We start from the raw sequence: 16140 nt of genomic DNA on the forward strand, positions 1-16140 counted from the left end.
ATCTTGGATCTTCCTTCAAGGAGGAGAGTGCCCTTACGGCATTGAATACTGAGGAGCTCTCCCTTCCTCCCCACATATGCCCTTTTTCCTCCTCTCTCTTTTTTTTTTTTTTTTGAGATGGAATCTCACTTTGTCACCCAGGCTGCAGTGCAGTGGCACGATCTCAGCTCACTGTAACCTCCATCTCCCGGGTTCAAGCGATTCTCCTGCCTCAACTTCCCAAGCAGCTGGGACTACAGGCATCCACCACCAAGCCTGGCTAATTTTTGCGTTTTTAGTAGAGACGGGGTTTCACCGTGTTGGCCAGGATGGTCTCCATCTCTCGACCTTGTGATCCGCCCGCCTTGGCCTCCCCAAGTGCTGGGATTACAGGCATGAGCCACCGCACCCGGCCTTTTCCTCCTCTTAAGGAAGTGAAATCTTACCAGTCCCTCAGGGCGGCAGCCTAAGCTCCTGCTGACGCAGGCAGTCACTTCATCTCATTTCCGCCATCACTCTATGACGAGTTAGCACAAGGGCTGCCTGAGAAATGCCTCATGGTTCAGATGCTGTCTCACGTTCTCACTCCTTCTTGGCTTTCAGTGCTTCTGGGGCCACTCTGTGCCTGGTGCTGTGCTGGCCATGGGGGTAGTGGGATTCTCGGGTCCCCCCTGTTTGGTTCCTTGCCAGTGCCCAGAGTCATGTGGAGAAAGCCAAGCCCCTCAGTGGCACCTGGGGAGTGGGGGACATTGGTCCTTAGGAGCACAGAGCAGGAAGGGCTGTGGAAGAGGCACCTGGGGAGTGGGGGACATTGGTCCTTGGGAGCACAGAGCAGGAAGGGCTGTGGAAGAGGCAAGCCAACAGCTCAGCAGTGATGCGTGCCATTCAAAATCCGTGCCAGCGTTGCCCAACTTGGTTGAAGGCCCAGCACAGACACATGATGGCCCTGTTCAGTTATCTCCTGCTCAGGCAGGCAGACGCCTCCGTCTCAGTCTCTGCCATCAATCAGCCTCTAAGGGAACCGAGTGACCCGTGCAGAGAATCCTCATTTCCACATTTTTCTACATTTCCCGCTCCTAATTGATAAAATAAAGAGATTGCTAAGTAGAAAGCAGGTTCCGTGTATTTTGTGCAATCCAGCAACATTTTTCTTTCAAATGAGTTCAAGTCTATCTTGGCAAAAGGTGAAAGGAAGCGTCAATAATTCAAGCTAGTTATGTTTTTCTTTCCTTATTAAATCAGTTAAAATTATCTTTGTTCTTCCCAGACAGGCTCTGAAGGGCCTATTAAGGCATCTGTGGCATGGATCACTCACCTGGCACTCTCAGAGATAATTAAAATGCTGTAATCTTACAACATCTTGGAATAGGAAGGGGCCTTACAGAACTTGGGGAATTTGGTTCAGGCTTTTGATATCAGAGATATCAGAAACCAAGGGGTGGGGAGGTCCCAGGGACGTCAGAAGCCACAAGCTGTCAGAGGTGGAACCAGATTCACGAGGCCACCCCGCCCACAGAGCTTCTCTGCGGGCTCCCACACCCTTGCACAATGCAGCCACGCGGGGTGAAGAAGGCTCTGGAATTCCCCTGTTTGGAATCTCCCAACCCTATCCATCCTTCAGTGCCCTGCTCAGGTCCCCATCGCCATGGTCTTCCTCGTGGGCTGCCCCAGAACTGTGACTCCCATGGCCATCCCTTCCATTAGTGACACTCCCAGCACAATTGCAGCTGCTGCCGTCCACACCACCGGCTGTTCCACTGCTCTCAGCTCACTTCAACCTTCCCCCAACTTGGAGAGGCAGATGTGGATATGCTCACTTGATAGATGAGGAAACTGAGGCACACAGAGGTTCAGCCAGCCGAGCCACGTAGCATCATTAGTAGGTGGGAGAGCCACAGAGAGGACCCTGGTCTGGACTTTAGGCTGACACTGAACCGCGGGCAACGCATGCTTGTCCCCGTCAAGCCACACATCTGCCCTGGTGTCTTGGAGCTGGTTCATCTTCCACAAAACTGAGAGTTCTCTGGAGGTGTGGGGGTGCCTGTTTCCTAGCCACCCCTTGTCCTCAGCAGAGAATGCAAGTGGTCCCTGACTTACAATGGTCCAACTTGCAGTCTCTCGACTTTCCTATGGCATGAAAGTGGCACTCATCCAGCGGAAGCTGTACTTGGAGCACCCATCCAACCCTTCTGTTTTTTACTTTCAGTATGGTGTTCAAGAAGTTACTTGAGACAGTCATCACTTTATCATAAAATACGGTCTGGGTTAGGGCATTCTGCCCGACAATAGACTAGTGTGAGTGTTCTGAGCATGCATTCAAGATAGGCGAGGCTGAGCTGCGAAGTTTCGTAGGTTAGGTATGTTACATGCGTTTCGACTGATGATATTTTCAGTCTATATTGGGTTTATTGGGACGTAGCCCCATGGTAATTGGAAGAGCGTCTGTATTTGTGCACTGGTTGGTCCTGTCAAATTGCTACAATGTTTCCTCCCTCCAGGCAGCAGCGGGCAGAGGGGTTCCAGGCCAGCTAAGGCTTGTGGTTTAAAACTTTCAGACAAAACCACCAAACGGTGCTGTCCTGAGCACTCACGCTATTCCTCAGCCTGCCCTACACCTGTCACCCGCCGACAAGGCCGACCTTATCCCAGGCTTACTTTGGATCGTCACCTGAGATTCTGCTTCTCTGATCTGCATGTCAGATGCCTTCAAATTAGGTGCTGGGAAGAGCCAGGGCTAGGAGCAGCCGTCATGACGTGCAGAGCGCACGCATGCATGTGCACAGTTGTGTGCATGTGTCTCTGTGTGATGCATGTGTGCATGCATATATGTGTGTATGTGCGTATGTCTCTGTGCACACGCATGTGTATGTGTGTCTATGTGTGTGCACACGTGTGTATGTGTGTCTCTGTGTGTCTGTGTGTGTACACGTGTGTATGTGTCTCTCTGTGTCTTGTGTGCCCACGTGTGTGTGTCTCTGTACACACGTGCCTGTGTGTGCACACGTGTGTATGTGTGTCTCTGTGCACGTGTGTGTCTGTGTGCACACATGTGTACGTGTCTCTGTGTGCACGTGTGTATGTCTGTGTGCACACGTGTGTGTGTATGTGCACACGTGTGTATGTGTGTATGTGCACACGTGTGTATGTGTGTATGTGCACACGTGTGTGTGTATGTGCACATTTGTGTCTCTGCACACGTATGTATGTGTCTCTGTGTATGTGTGCACCGTGCACACGTGTGTATGTGTTTCTGTGTGTCTCTGTGTGCACACGTGTATGTCTCTGTGTGCACACACATGTGTATGTGTCTCTGTGTCTGTCTGCACACGTGTGTATGTGTGTCTCTGTGTGTCTGTGTGTGCAAACATGTGTATACATGTTTCTATGTGCATGTGTGCTGTGCATGAATCTGTTTGAGTGTGTGTGTCGGCTGTGCATGTGTGCTTGGGGGTTATAGGGTGGGCACAGGGAGGGTTGTGGCAGCTGCTATTAATCTGTGGCTCCGGGACACTCTTGCTTGCCCTGGGATGAGTAGGGGTTTCCTATGGTTCCCTGACTGTGGACATGAGACCTGTTCCCACTTCCCACCCCAACCCCATGTGAAAACATCCTGATGATATGGTCCTCCTGGCCCACCGTGATTGTTCAGAGACCGCCGCGGGTGCAGAGTGCAAGGGGGTGTGGTGGGAAGTGTACCAGTGGCCTCTAGAGCTGGACCATGCATGGTCTTTTACTGCAGGAATAACATGATCCCTGGGGTTCACTTTCCTGGGCCAGAAGCATGGGGCTGACACACGCTCAGCTCTTTGTGCCAGGACGCCTGCCCTCCTGTCCCACCAGGTCTCCTTGGAATCCCCACATGCCCTCCGTCCCGCCCCACTCAGGCCCCTTTCCCAGATCTGATGACCCTGGCCCTGCCTCTCCAGCTTGGTCTTCCAGAGTTGAGTCTGCGTGGCTGTGTCCTCATTGTCTCTCGGCTCCCATGACGCTAAGGTGGCTTCCAGGCCTGTGGTCTGGCTGGACAGGACGTCCTCAGCTCGGGACACTCAACCCTCCACACCTGTGCTTCCTGGGCTGGTCCTTCCCAGCCTCCCCTTTCCGAGCTGCCTTCCTGGTGCCTCCCTCCTGGCCACATCCTAGGGCACATCTGCTCTACACTGCAGTCCCTCCTGGGCCAGCCTCTTCCCTTCCCACTCTGTGTGGCCAGAGCCCATCTGCCAGTGCGGCACCTCGTACTTGGACTATTTGTGAACTTGCATCCAGACAAAAAGGCCTATTTTTTCTCACACACTTGGGGTGCAGCATTTTCTTGGGCTAAGCCATAACCCCAACTCCCCCTGCTCCTGCAGTGGCCTGTAAGTGGCTGTGTTTTCTGTGGGCTCTGGATTGCCATTCGGGGGAGGACCCTCAAAACAGTGGTGCTCCAGATGGGGCTGGCCACGTGTGTGCCGGCGGCTCAGCTCAATGGTCCCCTGCCCTGGGGGCTTGAGACGTCTCTATGGTTCTCTCATCTGCTCAGGAGGCACCTCTAGGTGCACGGAACAGACTTCTTTGCGAATGGAACAGAGTACGTTCCACCACATCTGCCTTCCCTGATCCCTCCTTGCAGAATTCAAATCCCCAAATCCCCACAAAGGCGACCCAGTTTCAGGGCTGACATCCTGTGCTATTTTCCCCACGTAAAGACGGATGAGTTCTTTGCCCCTTGGAATTGATGATAATAGGGTTTTGCTGCACATATTCCTAATTCTCTGGGCCAGTCATTTGGCCACATGGATTGTATAGAGCAGCGTTTCCCAGACTTTAATGTGCACGGGCTTCACCTGGGAATTTTGTTTAAATGGAAATTCGGATTCAGTAGGTGTGGGATGGGGCCTGAGATTCTGCATTTCTGACGAGCTCCCAGGTCCGGGACGGTCCTCGGCAGAGAAGGTCAGACTGTGGCGGACACGAAGGATCACAGACGCCTTCCTCCTCGATTGTTCAGCATGATCTATCTTGTTCTCCAAAAATGACAAAGTGTGTCAAAAAGTGAGAGCGTGAGACGGGTCTCTCCAGACAGGCTGCTGTCTTTATCAGGAGTCCCTCAGAGGCAGGTGGCAGAAGCCTTACTCCTCTTTCTTAAGGGCAGGAAGGAGTATCTTGAGGCCTTGAGAAGTTCACGGGGAGATGGCTGCAGGTGCATCTGGTTCCAGATGTTCAACCAATGTTTCCGGAGTTCCATGCGTCCGCTTGGCCTTCCTCTGTTTGTCCTTGTTCTCAGGTAGGCATTCCGTCTTAATAGTAGGAAATAATGGCCAGGCTTAGACGGTCCGAACCGAGAGTGGTCTCAAGGGGGAAAGAGAGAGAGCGCCTCTCACCGAGTCAAGCATATTCGTCCCCGGAAATGACTCCAAGCACCGCCTCTTGGCCAGCCCCTCTGCGCCGGGCCGTGAGCTCTCCTGGCTGGGCCCTACCAGATGATGAGAACTTGGGGAGAGGCTGTTGCCACGTGGGAGAGATTGCGGACAGGGAAGCTTCTGCTCAGACCGTGACCTCTGCTTCCCTTTCCACCGCGCTGCTCCGAGGGCCAGTGCTGGGTGCCCGGTATGCCTGAGCAATAACCGTTGCTCCCGGTTTCCACCGCGTTCATAATGACACCCCTCTTACCTGGTCCGCCATCTTGGCTGAGCATTGGAGTCACCCGAGTGGCTTTTCAAACAATGCCCAAGACTCACCCAGAAAATCTGCTGGCAGCCCAGGCATAAGCATCTATTTTTAAAGCTCCCCACCTTCAAAAAGTGCAGCCAAGATTAAAATCCTCAATGGAAACAAGGCTTGACGTGCTAGGTGATAAAGAATTTTAAAATTACAGGGCTCCAAGGAGTCTCAGAACCCGTCTAGTTTCTGCCCTTTCATTTTACAGGTAAAGTAACTTACCCAAAGTCTCGGAGTTGGTGTGGAGTGCAGAATGCAAGCCACCTGATTTCCAGCCCTGTGTTCTTTTTATAACAGCTGATTTTGCACATGTCAAAAAGGAGGCTGACATCACAGAGCAACACAGCCAGGGGCTCAGAAAGCTCCCTGGCACATCTGAAAAGGAAGAGCAAATACTTTGAAAATATTAAAGGTTATTACCAGATGTCAAATGAATGTCAGGGAAATAACTTCAAGTTTTTCAACACACTGGGACTCATTTAATTTATTTAAATGTCTTTGTTAGCTAGGGGAATTCTTAAGACTGTCCTCCTTGTCATTTTATCCCACGATTAATCACCTGCAAGCTAACTTAACCTGGAAATAACTGTAAAATTTGTGATACTTCAACCGATCAGGTCAAGACACTTGGTTCTTAACAGTCTGTGTAGGATCAAAGATATGGCTGCTGTCCAAAAGAGCTGGGATGCTCACATCAAAGTTCAGATCCAACCCCTTTCAACCTTGCTCCTTCTCTTCAGCACTTAGATTTAAGTTCTTGTTGAAAACTTTTAAGTAGAGCAGTGTGTGTGTGTGTGTGTGTGTGTGTGTGTGTGTGTGTGTGTGAATTGCAGCCTTAGCCCAAACCAGCTCCTGCGTGTCGTGAACTGGAGAGTGGACGCGATTTCCCAGCTGAGCCAGCTCTTGCCTGTCAGGTCGAGCTAGGTGAATGTGCTGAGCTGTCCTAAGAGGGTCCTTTTCATGAGCGTTCCAGGTGCCTTTCAGTCCCTGTGGATCCTTGGGCTCATAGCTGCCTCGTTATGGAAAACACTTGTGGCCAAGCGAATGCTGACCACACGGCCTCCAGTTTGAACAAGGCTGAGACCTGACCGGCTTTCTCATCAGGAAAAAACAACATTGGATTCATTTCTCCATCTCTCTCTCACGTGTGATGCTTTCCACCCACTGGGTTAAGTTTCTTATTGCCTTCTTCATTTTTCTTTCTCCTCTCCCCTCGCCCTCCCCTTTCTGTGTCAGTTTCAAAAGGCAAATGTCTGGCGGGAGTCAATAAAGGAATTGCTTTTACTTGTTTCAGGTGCTGACGGCACAGTGAGGTTTGTTATGCTGGAAGCTTAAACCAACAAAAGCCAGGGAGGACTGGACGCTGTCTGAAAGTGAGGACAGGAATTGTTAATTGCTCATAACATCCTGTGTCTACCAAGAGCAACAGATACTTGACTTCTTTTTTAAACTGTCTAAAGTTAACTTACTCACAGAATACCAGCCATAAATACTTTCATGTCTGACTCACTTAAGCTAGAGTTGTAACTTCACATTACCATGTGCCTTTACATTATTGAAGTTTAAAGGAATTCCTTTCAAAGCCCAATGTTTGGCTCACGATGAAAGGGAATCAAACAGCTTATTCTAAGTTACATTCAATAATTACATAAGTAACCCTTTAAATACTAGATATGCAAATAGTGCACTATTCTTCCTGTAATTACTTTGTGTACACGGTTTGATAAAATCCCAAGATTGTAATACATGTTTATGGAGAAGATTAGCAAATATGATTTCTTTCTGAATGGAAGAAGTGAACTAGGAATTGAAAGTGAACTAGACATTTGCAGTTGCTTTGAGTGGCTGCCTGGAGCCTGTTGGTGTGAGGAAGCCAGGAAGAGCCAAGGGGTGTGTTCCAGGCATGGCTGAAGCCAGGTGTCTCCTCCGTGCAGCCTCATCCAAACCACCTGAGAGTCCCAGGGTCCCTGATTGTGCATGCATCCACTATTGAAAGATCAATTCCATGGGGTTGGGCCGGAAATACCTCTATGGGTGTTTCAGAGATTTCAGTCCATGTCTCAATTTAATCTGGGTAGATCAGGGGTAACCTGTACATGAGCCAAGCTTCTTCACAACTCCCCGTCAATCTTTAAAGGAGGGAAAGGAGTGATTTGGGTTCAGATCATCTAGCTTCAGCCCTCCTCCCCAGAACACACTTTAAACAAGTTATTTTCGGTATAATTCATGCTTATTGTAAAAATTACCAAAGAGTTCACAGGTGGGCACAAAACTCTTGTTTTCCCTCCAGGTTTCCTAATCCCATATCCCAGAGAGAGCTTCTGTTGGCAGCTCTGAATGCATCCTTTCAGACAGCTGATCGGGTGTTAAGAACGTGCATGCATGTGTGAGCACCCCACAGGCACTCATGCTCCAGGTAGCTGTTTTGTTACTCATTTCACCCATTCCTGTGGACTTTCCTACTTTCAGCTTATTCAAGCTCTTCTCATCCCCCGAGGGCTGCATGGTGGCCCATTTGAGTGGGGCCATTCCATCCTCATCCTCATTCCACGTGGTTGGGGTTACACTGACCGCATCCTGGAGCCCCAGCTCCGGACAATGGGAGAACTCTACCCCACTGGCCATAAGGGTTGGCCTAGGATGCGCCGTGGGAGTCATGGAGACCAGGGAGAGCTCATTCACCCATTAGGAGCATGTATCAGACGCCTAGTGTATGCCAGATGGTATTCTGGGAACTCAGGGTCCAACGGGCAAGGGCTCATGCTCTTCTGGAGCGGACATTCTACTAGGGAGGGGGATAGGATGGATAATAAACTCATGCCTCTTAAAAACGACCAAATTATTTGGCTTCTTGGGAGGTGGTAAGTGCCGTGGATAGAAAGAGAAGTAGCACACGGTTAGGTGGTTGCTGCAGTATGAAGTAGGGTGAGCAGCAGAGGCCTCATCGAGAAGAGGACATTTGAGTAAAGGTTTTTAGGAAGTGAAGGAACGAACCAAGCTCTGGGGAGAGGGAGCCACCAACATCCCACGGCCAGGCATGCAGAGAGGCAGCGAGGAAGCTGGCACAGTCTCTGCGGAGGGAGAATCAGGAAGGAGGTCAGAGGGCCAGGGAGGGAGAGGCAGCTCAGCTAGGTCCTTGCAAGTCCATGGCTTTTATGCAGAGTGAGTGGTGGACACGTGAGCAGAGGAAGGAACCATGTAACTGAGGTCTTAAGAGCCACCTTGACTGTTGGTTTGAGAATAGACCACAGGAAGCAGTCTGTGCAGGAAGTAGAGATGGGGACAACTCGGGGAGGTCAACCCCGGCAGGGGACGAAGGCTAATGCCAGGGAGCTCACCGCAGAGATGGCAAGTTTGACTTGGAGTGTGTTTCAAAGGTAGATCCAGCAGGATCCCCCGTGAGATGACCATCGGGAGCGATGGAGCTGCCATCACCTGAGGTGCGGTACGTGGTGTGCAGAACAAGGTAGGTGAGGTTCAGAGCACGAGTAGGGCTTTGGAGGTGTTGAGCGTGAATGCTCTGTTAGGTCACATGGGCAACTGGACATATGCCTGCGGGGCTTTGAAAAGGATGACACTGGAGATCCGAAATGGGGGCTGTGGCTGGCAAATGGCATTAAAGTCCACATGAGGTCACCAGTCCCACTGAAGGGTGAATGCAGATGGCTGGTCCTGGGCCACTCCATGATTGGAAGAGGGGCCCTCTCAAGCAGGGAGAGAAGAGGAGCTAGGAGGCCAGCGGCAGTGGCAGTGAGTTGTGTCGAGGGGGCACCAGCTGTGTTCAGCGAGGCTGATGGGCTGTGATGACTGACGCTGGGAGGGCCACCCTGGATGGAGCTCAGAGATGGTCTTAGTGAGAGAAGTCCCTGGGGCGTGATGGCGTCAGCAACATGACCAACCGTAGACAGTGTCTATGGATTCTGCACTGTGCAAGATGAATGTAGCTAAGTTACTAGTTGCTTGCTTTTTGGACAAGTTATATGGTGGTGCCTCAGTTTCCATATGTGCAGCACCCATGCCATAGGATTATTATGAGAATTGACGATGTGATGATGCATAGAGCAGAACAGGGCCCAGCGGGCACAAGCACAGCATAAACGTTCACTGTCACTATTACACCGCCTCCTGCTTCTCTTTGCCACCAGCACATCCCAACTTTCTTCAGTTGTATTATTGTTTTCAGCTGTTTGACTTGTTCTCATGATTGTATTATATGTAAACATCCATTCCTTGATTTGCCAACTTTGGTCAGCAAGAATTGACACCCAGCCACGAGAAGGGAAGAAGGAAGAGCAGCTCCCTTCCTCCCATTTCTCCATGCAGCTTTGCTTCTCAGGGTCTGGTTGTTACATGAAGATTGTTGCTTCATCATGTCTTACTACATTTACTTTCTGTCACGATATGTGTTTGACTACAAGATGTCTTCAATAATCAAAGGCAATAGAAATCATTCCTAGGATGAAGATCATGTAAAGTTACTCATTTTGGACACTTTTCTAAGCATTAAGATCTAATGACTTTATAAGAAATTTCTATCTAGTCTTTCTTTGATTAAGTCACACTCCAGGGCATCTGTGCCTCCAATCCCTTTGTTTCTCTTGGTCTCTTCTCCTTTTGCTAAAATAGTTCTCCTCTCCCCATTTTTTTTTCACAAAAGTGAATTTTCTGAATTTTGAAAATGTCTATATTTATTCCTTACCTTTGTTTTTTGTTTGTATGTTTTGAGAAGGAGTCTCGCTCGGTCACCTAGGCTGGAGTGCAGTGGCTCCATCTTGGCTTGCTGCAACCTCCACCTCCCAGGCTCAAGCGATTCTCCTGCCTCAGCCTCCTGAGTAGCTGGGATTACAGGCATTCACCACCACATCTGGCTACTTTTAGTAGAGACGGGGTTTCACCATGTTGGCCAGGCTGGTCTCAAACTCCTGACCTCAGGCAATCCGCCCCCACTCGGCCTCTCAAAGTGCTGGGATTACAGGCATGAGCCACCTCACCCAGTCTATGCCTTGCCTTTGATTAAGGGTTTGGATATTAAAGAATTTTTATGCAAAGAAATGTTCAGGACACTGAGCTATTGATATCTGGCATTCATTTCAGCATTGCTGGTATGGAATCTGATATTAGCCATCTCTATTCACGTTGCTTTATCTTGTTGGAAGTTTTTGGGATGGTATTTTTATTCCTAGAGTTCTTCTATGTTAAGGGATTAATCTGGATATGCAGCTTTGTAGAATTAACCCCGTTCAGCTCTTCCTGGGCCCTTCATGCTGAGTGTGGGATTTCCCTCCAGTCCCGAAGCTCTTCAGAAGCCTGCTGCCTGCCCCAGTGTTCCGGGGCCTTCTTGCAGAATGCCCAGTCGATGAATGTCAGGCTGCTTGGTCTGTTCTCCATGTCTCTTAAACTTTCTTTCATATTTTCCACCTTGCTCTTTTTCTTCTCCCCACAATGTTCTGGGAGATGTTCTCACTCATCTGCTATGCTCAATTATTCAGCTTATCCACAGAATGTTTCCTTTTGGCAGGTGTTTTAAGATGAAGGAACACCTTTTAATTCCTGCCTGGTTTGCACAGGAACCCGCTGTTTCATGGGTGCTGTATCTTCTCTGGTCTTTCTGGGAAGGCGGGTGGAGCTTCCTTCCTTCCTTCCTTCCTTCCTCCCTCCCTCCTTCCCTCTCTCTCTTTCTCTCTTTCCCTTTCTTTCTTTGTTTCTTCCTTCCTTCCTTCCTTCTTTCCTTCCTTCCTTCCTTCCTTCCTTCCTTCCTTCCTTTCTTTCTTTCTTCTTTTTTGAGACAGAGTCTCACTCTGTTGCCCAGGCTGGAGTTCAGTGGCATGATCTCGGCTCATTGCAACCTCCACCACCCTGGTTCAAGCAATTCCCCTGCCTCAGCTTCCCAAGAAGCTGGGATTACAAGCGCACATCATGCCCAACTAATTTTTTTTTTTTTTGTATTTTTAGTAGTGACAGAGTTTCACCATGTTGGCCAGACTGGTCTCCAACTCCTGACCTCAGGCAATCTGTCTGCCTTGGCCTCCCAAAGTGCTGGGATTACAGGCTTGAGCCACTGTGCCCGTCCTGGAGCTTTCTAAAGTTCTTTTTCATTCTGTGTCCTCTCTACTTTCTATGCTGAGTTCCTCTTTCCTCATCTTGCTCCTTTCTCATGCTCTTGCTTTCACCAAATGCCTGCTGACCTTGGTTTGGGGTTCATAATTGTGAGTGAAGGTGTCTGTGTTAGTCAGGGTTCTCCAGAGGCACAGAACTAATAGCATGTATGTATATATGAAAAGGAGTTCATTAGGGAGAATTGGCTCACACAATCACAAGGCAAAGTCTCGCAATAGGCCATGGTTCAGTCCAAGTCCCAAAGCCTCAAAAGTGCAAAGCCAACAGTGTAGCCTTCAGTCTGTGGGTGAAGGTCCGAGAGCCTCTGGCAAGCCACTGGCATAAGTCCAAGGCCAAAGGCCAAAGAACCTACAGTCTGATGTCCAAGGGCAAGAGGAGCAGAAGGAAGCATCCAGCACGGAAGAAAGATGAAAGCCAGAAGACCCAGCAGGCCGGCTTCTCCCACCTTCTTCCACCTGCTTCGTTCTGGCCATGCTGGATTGGTGCCCACCTACACTGAGGGTGGGTTGTCCTCTCCCAGTTCACCGACGCAAATGTCAGTGTCCTCCGGCAACACCCTCCCAGACACACGCAGAAACAATCCTTTACCAACTATCTAGATATTCTTCAATCCAATCAAATTGTCATCTTATATTCACCATCACAGAAGGGATGATCTCTTTCAATGTTGGGAGATACTTGGGGCATCTTTTGCAGTTGTCAGGTCCACTGCAAAGTCACCTCCAGTTGGATGGAAGGGGTGTGTTTGCCTTCTCTGAAAGCAGGCGGGTGACTTCATTCCTAGGCCGGGCCGCCTCCCCTCCCTTCCTGCAGTGGCCTTGAGCCTTGCAAGTTCTGCTCTGATTGTCCCTCCCAGGATCACCCCCCAGGGCAGACCTCATCCTTCCCTGTGGGAGCTGGCCCTTGAGTTCAACCTGAGAAAAACCAAGCTACTTCCAACTAAGTGACAGTGGTGCACCCAAGCTGCTCTGTGTGAGAGTCCTGCACAAAGGTTCTTGGCTGCCCCGCCCCGCATCCTGGTCTTGAGGTCCTTTCTTCTTTCTGTGTCTGGATCTCCCAGAGACTCCCTTCACCTCTGGAGTCCTTGCTCTGTGGTTTCCTCTGTTCTCTCTGTTTTTTTCAGGCTGGTTGCTCATGCTTCCTATTTTCCAAGAATTTATCAAAAATTTCTTTTCTATCATTGTGCTTTTCTTGTTTCATTCAACATGAACTTGGGAAGACAGGGAGGTGACGCAAGTGCTCCATTGGCTACCTTGAGACTAGAGGTCCCGCCCCTCCTTTGGAACCTGCAAGCCAGCAATAGCTCTCAGAAATATTCTTATTCAAGCTGTGGGGGTAGGGGGTGGGATCGGGGTCATCGATGTCAGATGGCAGGTCCCAGATCCCCCAGCCCACAAATTATATTTGAGGCAACCCCAGACAAATCCTTACCATGCTTGAGCCTCAGTTTATGAATGGACATGGGGGTCTCAGGATGCCTGACCCACAGGGGTGGGCAGGGCTGAGTCGGGCACTTTCTGGAGCGCTCTCCAATTGTAAACCGCATGGCTGGTACTGTGCAGTTACCCTCAGCAAAGAGAAAGGCAGGTAAGGCCACGATGGATGTTAAACACTCATTTTAAAACTAAAAATGACTTAGGAGTGTGGCTGCCCGAGTCCCCAGTCACAGAAGTGTGGCCGTCTCTCAACATCACCATTTCCTTTCTGAATGTCTCAGAACTAAGCCTTGGCCTGAGCTGTCTCTCTCGTCTACAGTCTACAGGCAAGGGCACCCCCGGCATGTTTATTGCCTGCCACCAGCTTTCTGTGAAGGAAACGTTTCAGGGTTAATGAACCAAAACTTGGGTCCAGGCAGAATGAGGCTGGAACCGAAGCTGTCCTGGGGCTTTTGTTAGTGGTTTGCCTTTCAGACCCTGGGGGCTCTATCCATGCCTCGCGGCAGACAAAACAACCTGGGATTGACAGGCTGACTTCAGGAGACAGGTGCCTCAGACGAATCTTCAACCCGTGGCCTCATTAGGCTGCATCGAACTGTCCAGGCCCCGTGGGTGTACCATCAGCGTTTTTCAGACCGGGGAAGGTGACTGTGCCATGGCACAAGGACGTGCAAATGGGGACAGCAGTGCCACAACAGTAACTTTCCGTGGGAATCAAGTCCTATAGGAACCCATGGGTCCCTAACTGAATGGGCACTGGTCTCTTACATGTACATACTAAATAGACTCCGGGGTGTTGATCCTCTAGAGCCAATATTGCCTATCTGTCACAGATGGAAGGTTGGGGTCCCCAGGATTCCTATGTTGAAACCCTGACCTCCCAAGTGATGATATTAGGAGACATGGCATTCTGGAAGTAATCAGGGTTCTACAAGGACATGAGGCTGGGGCCCCCATCATGGGACCCATGTCCTAAAAAGAAGGAAAAGAGAAACCAAAGCTCTCTCTCTCTCAGCCATGTGAGGACACAGCAAGAAGGTGGCTGTCTGCAAGCCAGGAAGAGAGCCCTCACCAACAACTGAATCTGTTGTCGCCTTGATTTTGGACTTGCAGTCTCCAGAGCCGTGAGAAATAACGTCTGTTGTCTAAGCCACACAGGCACTGGTGGTTGTTATAGCAGCCTGGGGTAAGGCATTCTCTGTCCAGCAGGATTATAAGATGGTGGGTGTATTAGTCCACTCTCACACTGCTATGAAGAAATACCCGAGACTGGGTAATTTATAAAGAAAAGAGTTTAATTGACTCACAGTTCCACATGGCTGGGGAGGCCTCAGGAAACTTACAATCACGACGGAAGGCACCTCTTCACAGGGTGGCAGGAGAGAGAATGAGTGCAGGCAGGGGAAATGCCAGATGCTTATAAAACCATCAGCTCTCATGAGAACTCACTCACTGTCATGAGAACAGCGTGGGGAAAACCACGCCCATTGTTCAGTTACCTCCCACTGGGTCCCTCCCACAACATGTGCGGATTATGGGGATTACAATTCAAGATGAGATTTGGGTGAGTGCAGTAGCCACATGTGGACCTCAATCCCTTTGAATGTGGCTTGTGTGATGGAAACACTAAAAGTTTTGATTTTATTTAAATTTTGATTAGTGTAAATATAAGTTTGGAGAGTTACATGTGATTCATGGCTACTGTATTAGTGCAGGTCTAGAAGACTTTGAGTCAGCCAGCCTGGCTGCTGGCACAGAGGGCAGGCGGTGGATTTGAAACCTTAGAGGAGCCTTCCAGTCTACAAAAGTTCTTCCACTCACCTGTCTAGAATCTCATTCTTATAGAGCCCTGCTCTCCCTCACACACCCTCCTGGGAGATGCGAACGGGAAGGATCATACATAAAACAATATCAGCAGTCAGCATAGTGTTGGGATCAGTAGACAGATCTCGTCCCCTTCAGGCAGCTACCAGGAGGAGACCAGTGGGAGAATTGGAGGGTCCTTCAGGAAGGCCCAGAGGTTGGAGCTTAGATCCTCACTTCCCAGGAGGGAACAGCAGACTCGCTGGAGCCCTGGGCAAGAGGCTCTGGGTGTCCTCGTGGACAGGGCAGCGAGGCAAATGGGAGCTGGATGCAGGAAGGAGGCTGGACACAGGGACACAGAACAGAACAGTTCCGGCTATCAGCAGCTTTCCCAACACCCAAGCCTGGTTTACAGGGAACATGGCTCAGCTGAATAAGCAAACACAAACTGGTGCCAGTTTTCTAATGAACATGCTTAGCCCTCACAGTGGGACTTGCTGCTTCCTGGCGACCAGTGAGTGCCTGAAGCCTCAGCCCAGGTGTCAGAGCAGGGCGGGGTGGGCCACTTGCTGAGGTCTTCGTGCAGCTGAAGCAAGGCCTGTAGAAAACATCCACAGCCACACTCACACCTGTCCTAGCTCCGTTTTTACCTGGAGCAATTATTTTAGCATAAGTTAGAAAGAAGCTGTGTTTTCACTTTGAATTTCCTGTGTATGGGGGAAACTCGCGAGCTCGTTGCTTGGCTACTTAGTACATTCCCAGCACTGTTTTGAGCGCTCTGCCAGTATTGGGTTCATTCCCCACAATAAGTGCTCTTTCAGACTCTTAACAAGTAAAACAAATGTAATTACTTCCTTTGTGGTCCATCACAGATATGTATGCAATTTATAGATCCGAAAGTGATGTAAATGTGACCTGAACGGTTTTCTCATCTACATGTGTATTTCAAGGCCATATTCCTACTGAGAAATCAAGTAATTGATCTGTACAATGGAGAAAATAGTTTTTAAAAGTAATTTTTGTTTCTTAAAAATAATCTCTTCTTTCATTCTCGAGATTTCCTGATGGTTGTGGTGCTAGAGAAGACACCCAACCCGGGGCTTTTCCT

General features: G+C 49.7%; 2 annotated features.

Moving 5' to 3' along the window:
• Positions 5081–6280: an enhancer, noted in NCBI's record as "BRD4-independent group 4 enhancer chr7:155855824-155857023 (GRCh37/hg19 assembly coordinates)". NCBI's record gives its function as "activates an origin of replication core promoter dependent on BRD2, P300/CBP, MED14 and CDK7 cofactors, and independent of BRD4, by STARR-seq in HCT116 cells {active_cell/tissue: HCT116}" and the evidence as "EXISTENCE:reporter gene assay evidence [ECO:0000049][PMID:35650434]".
• Positions 6566–7765: an enhancer, noted in NCBI's record as "CDK7 strongly-dependent group 2 enhancer chr7:155857309-155858508 (GRCh37/hg19 assembly coordinates)". NCBI's record gives its function as "activates an origin of replication core promoter dependent on BRD2, BRD4, P300/CBP, MED14 and CDK7 cofactors, with strong dependence on CDK7, by STARR-seq in HCT116 cells {active_cell/tissue: HCT116}" and the evidence as "EXISTENCE:reporter gene assay evidence [ECO:0000049][PMID:35650434]".

This window comes from Homo sapiens, chromosome 7, assembly GCF_000001405.40.
Source record: "Homo sapiens chromosome 7, GRCh38.p14 Primary Assembly".
Classification (NCBI taxonomy): domain Eukaryota; kingdom Metazoa; phylum Chordata; class Mammalia; order Primates; family Hominidae; genus Homo; species Homo sapiens.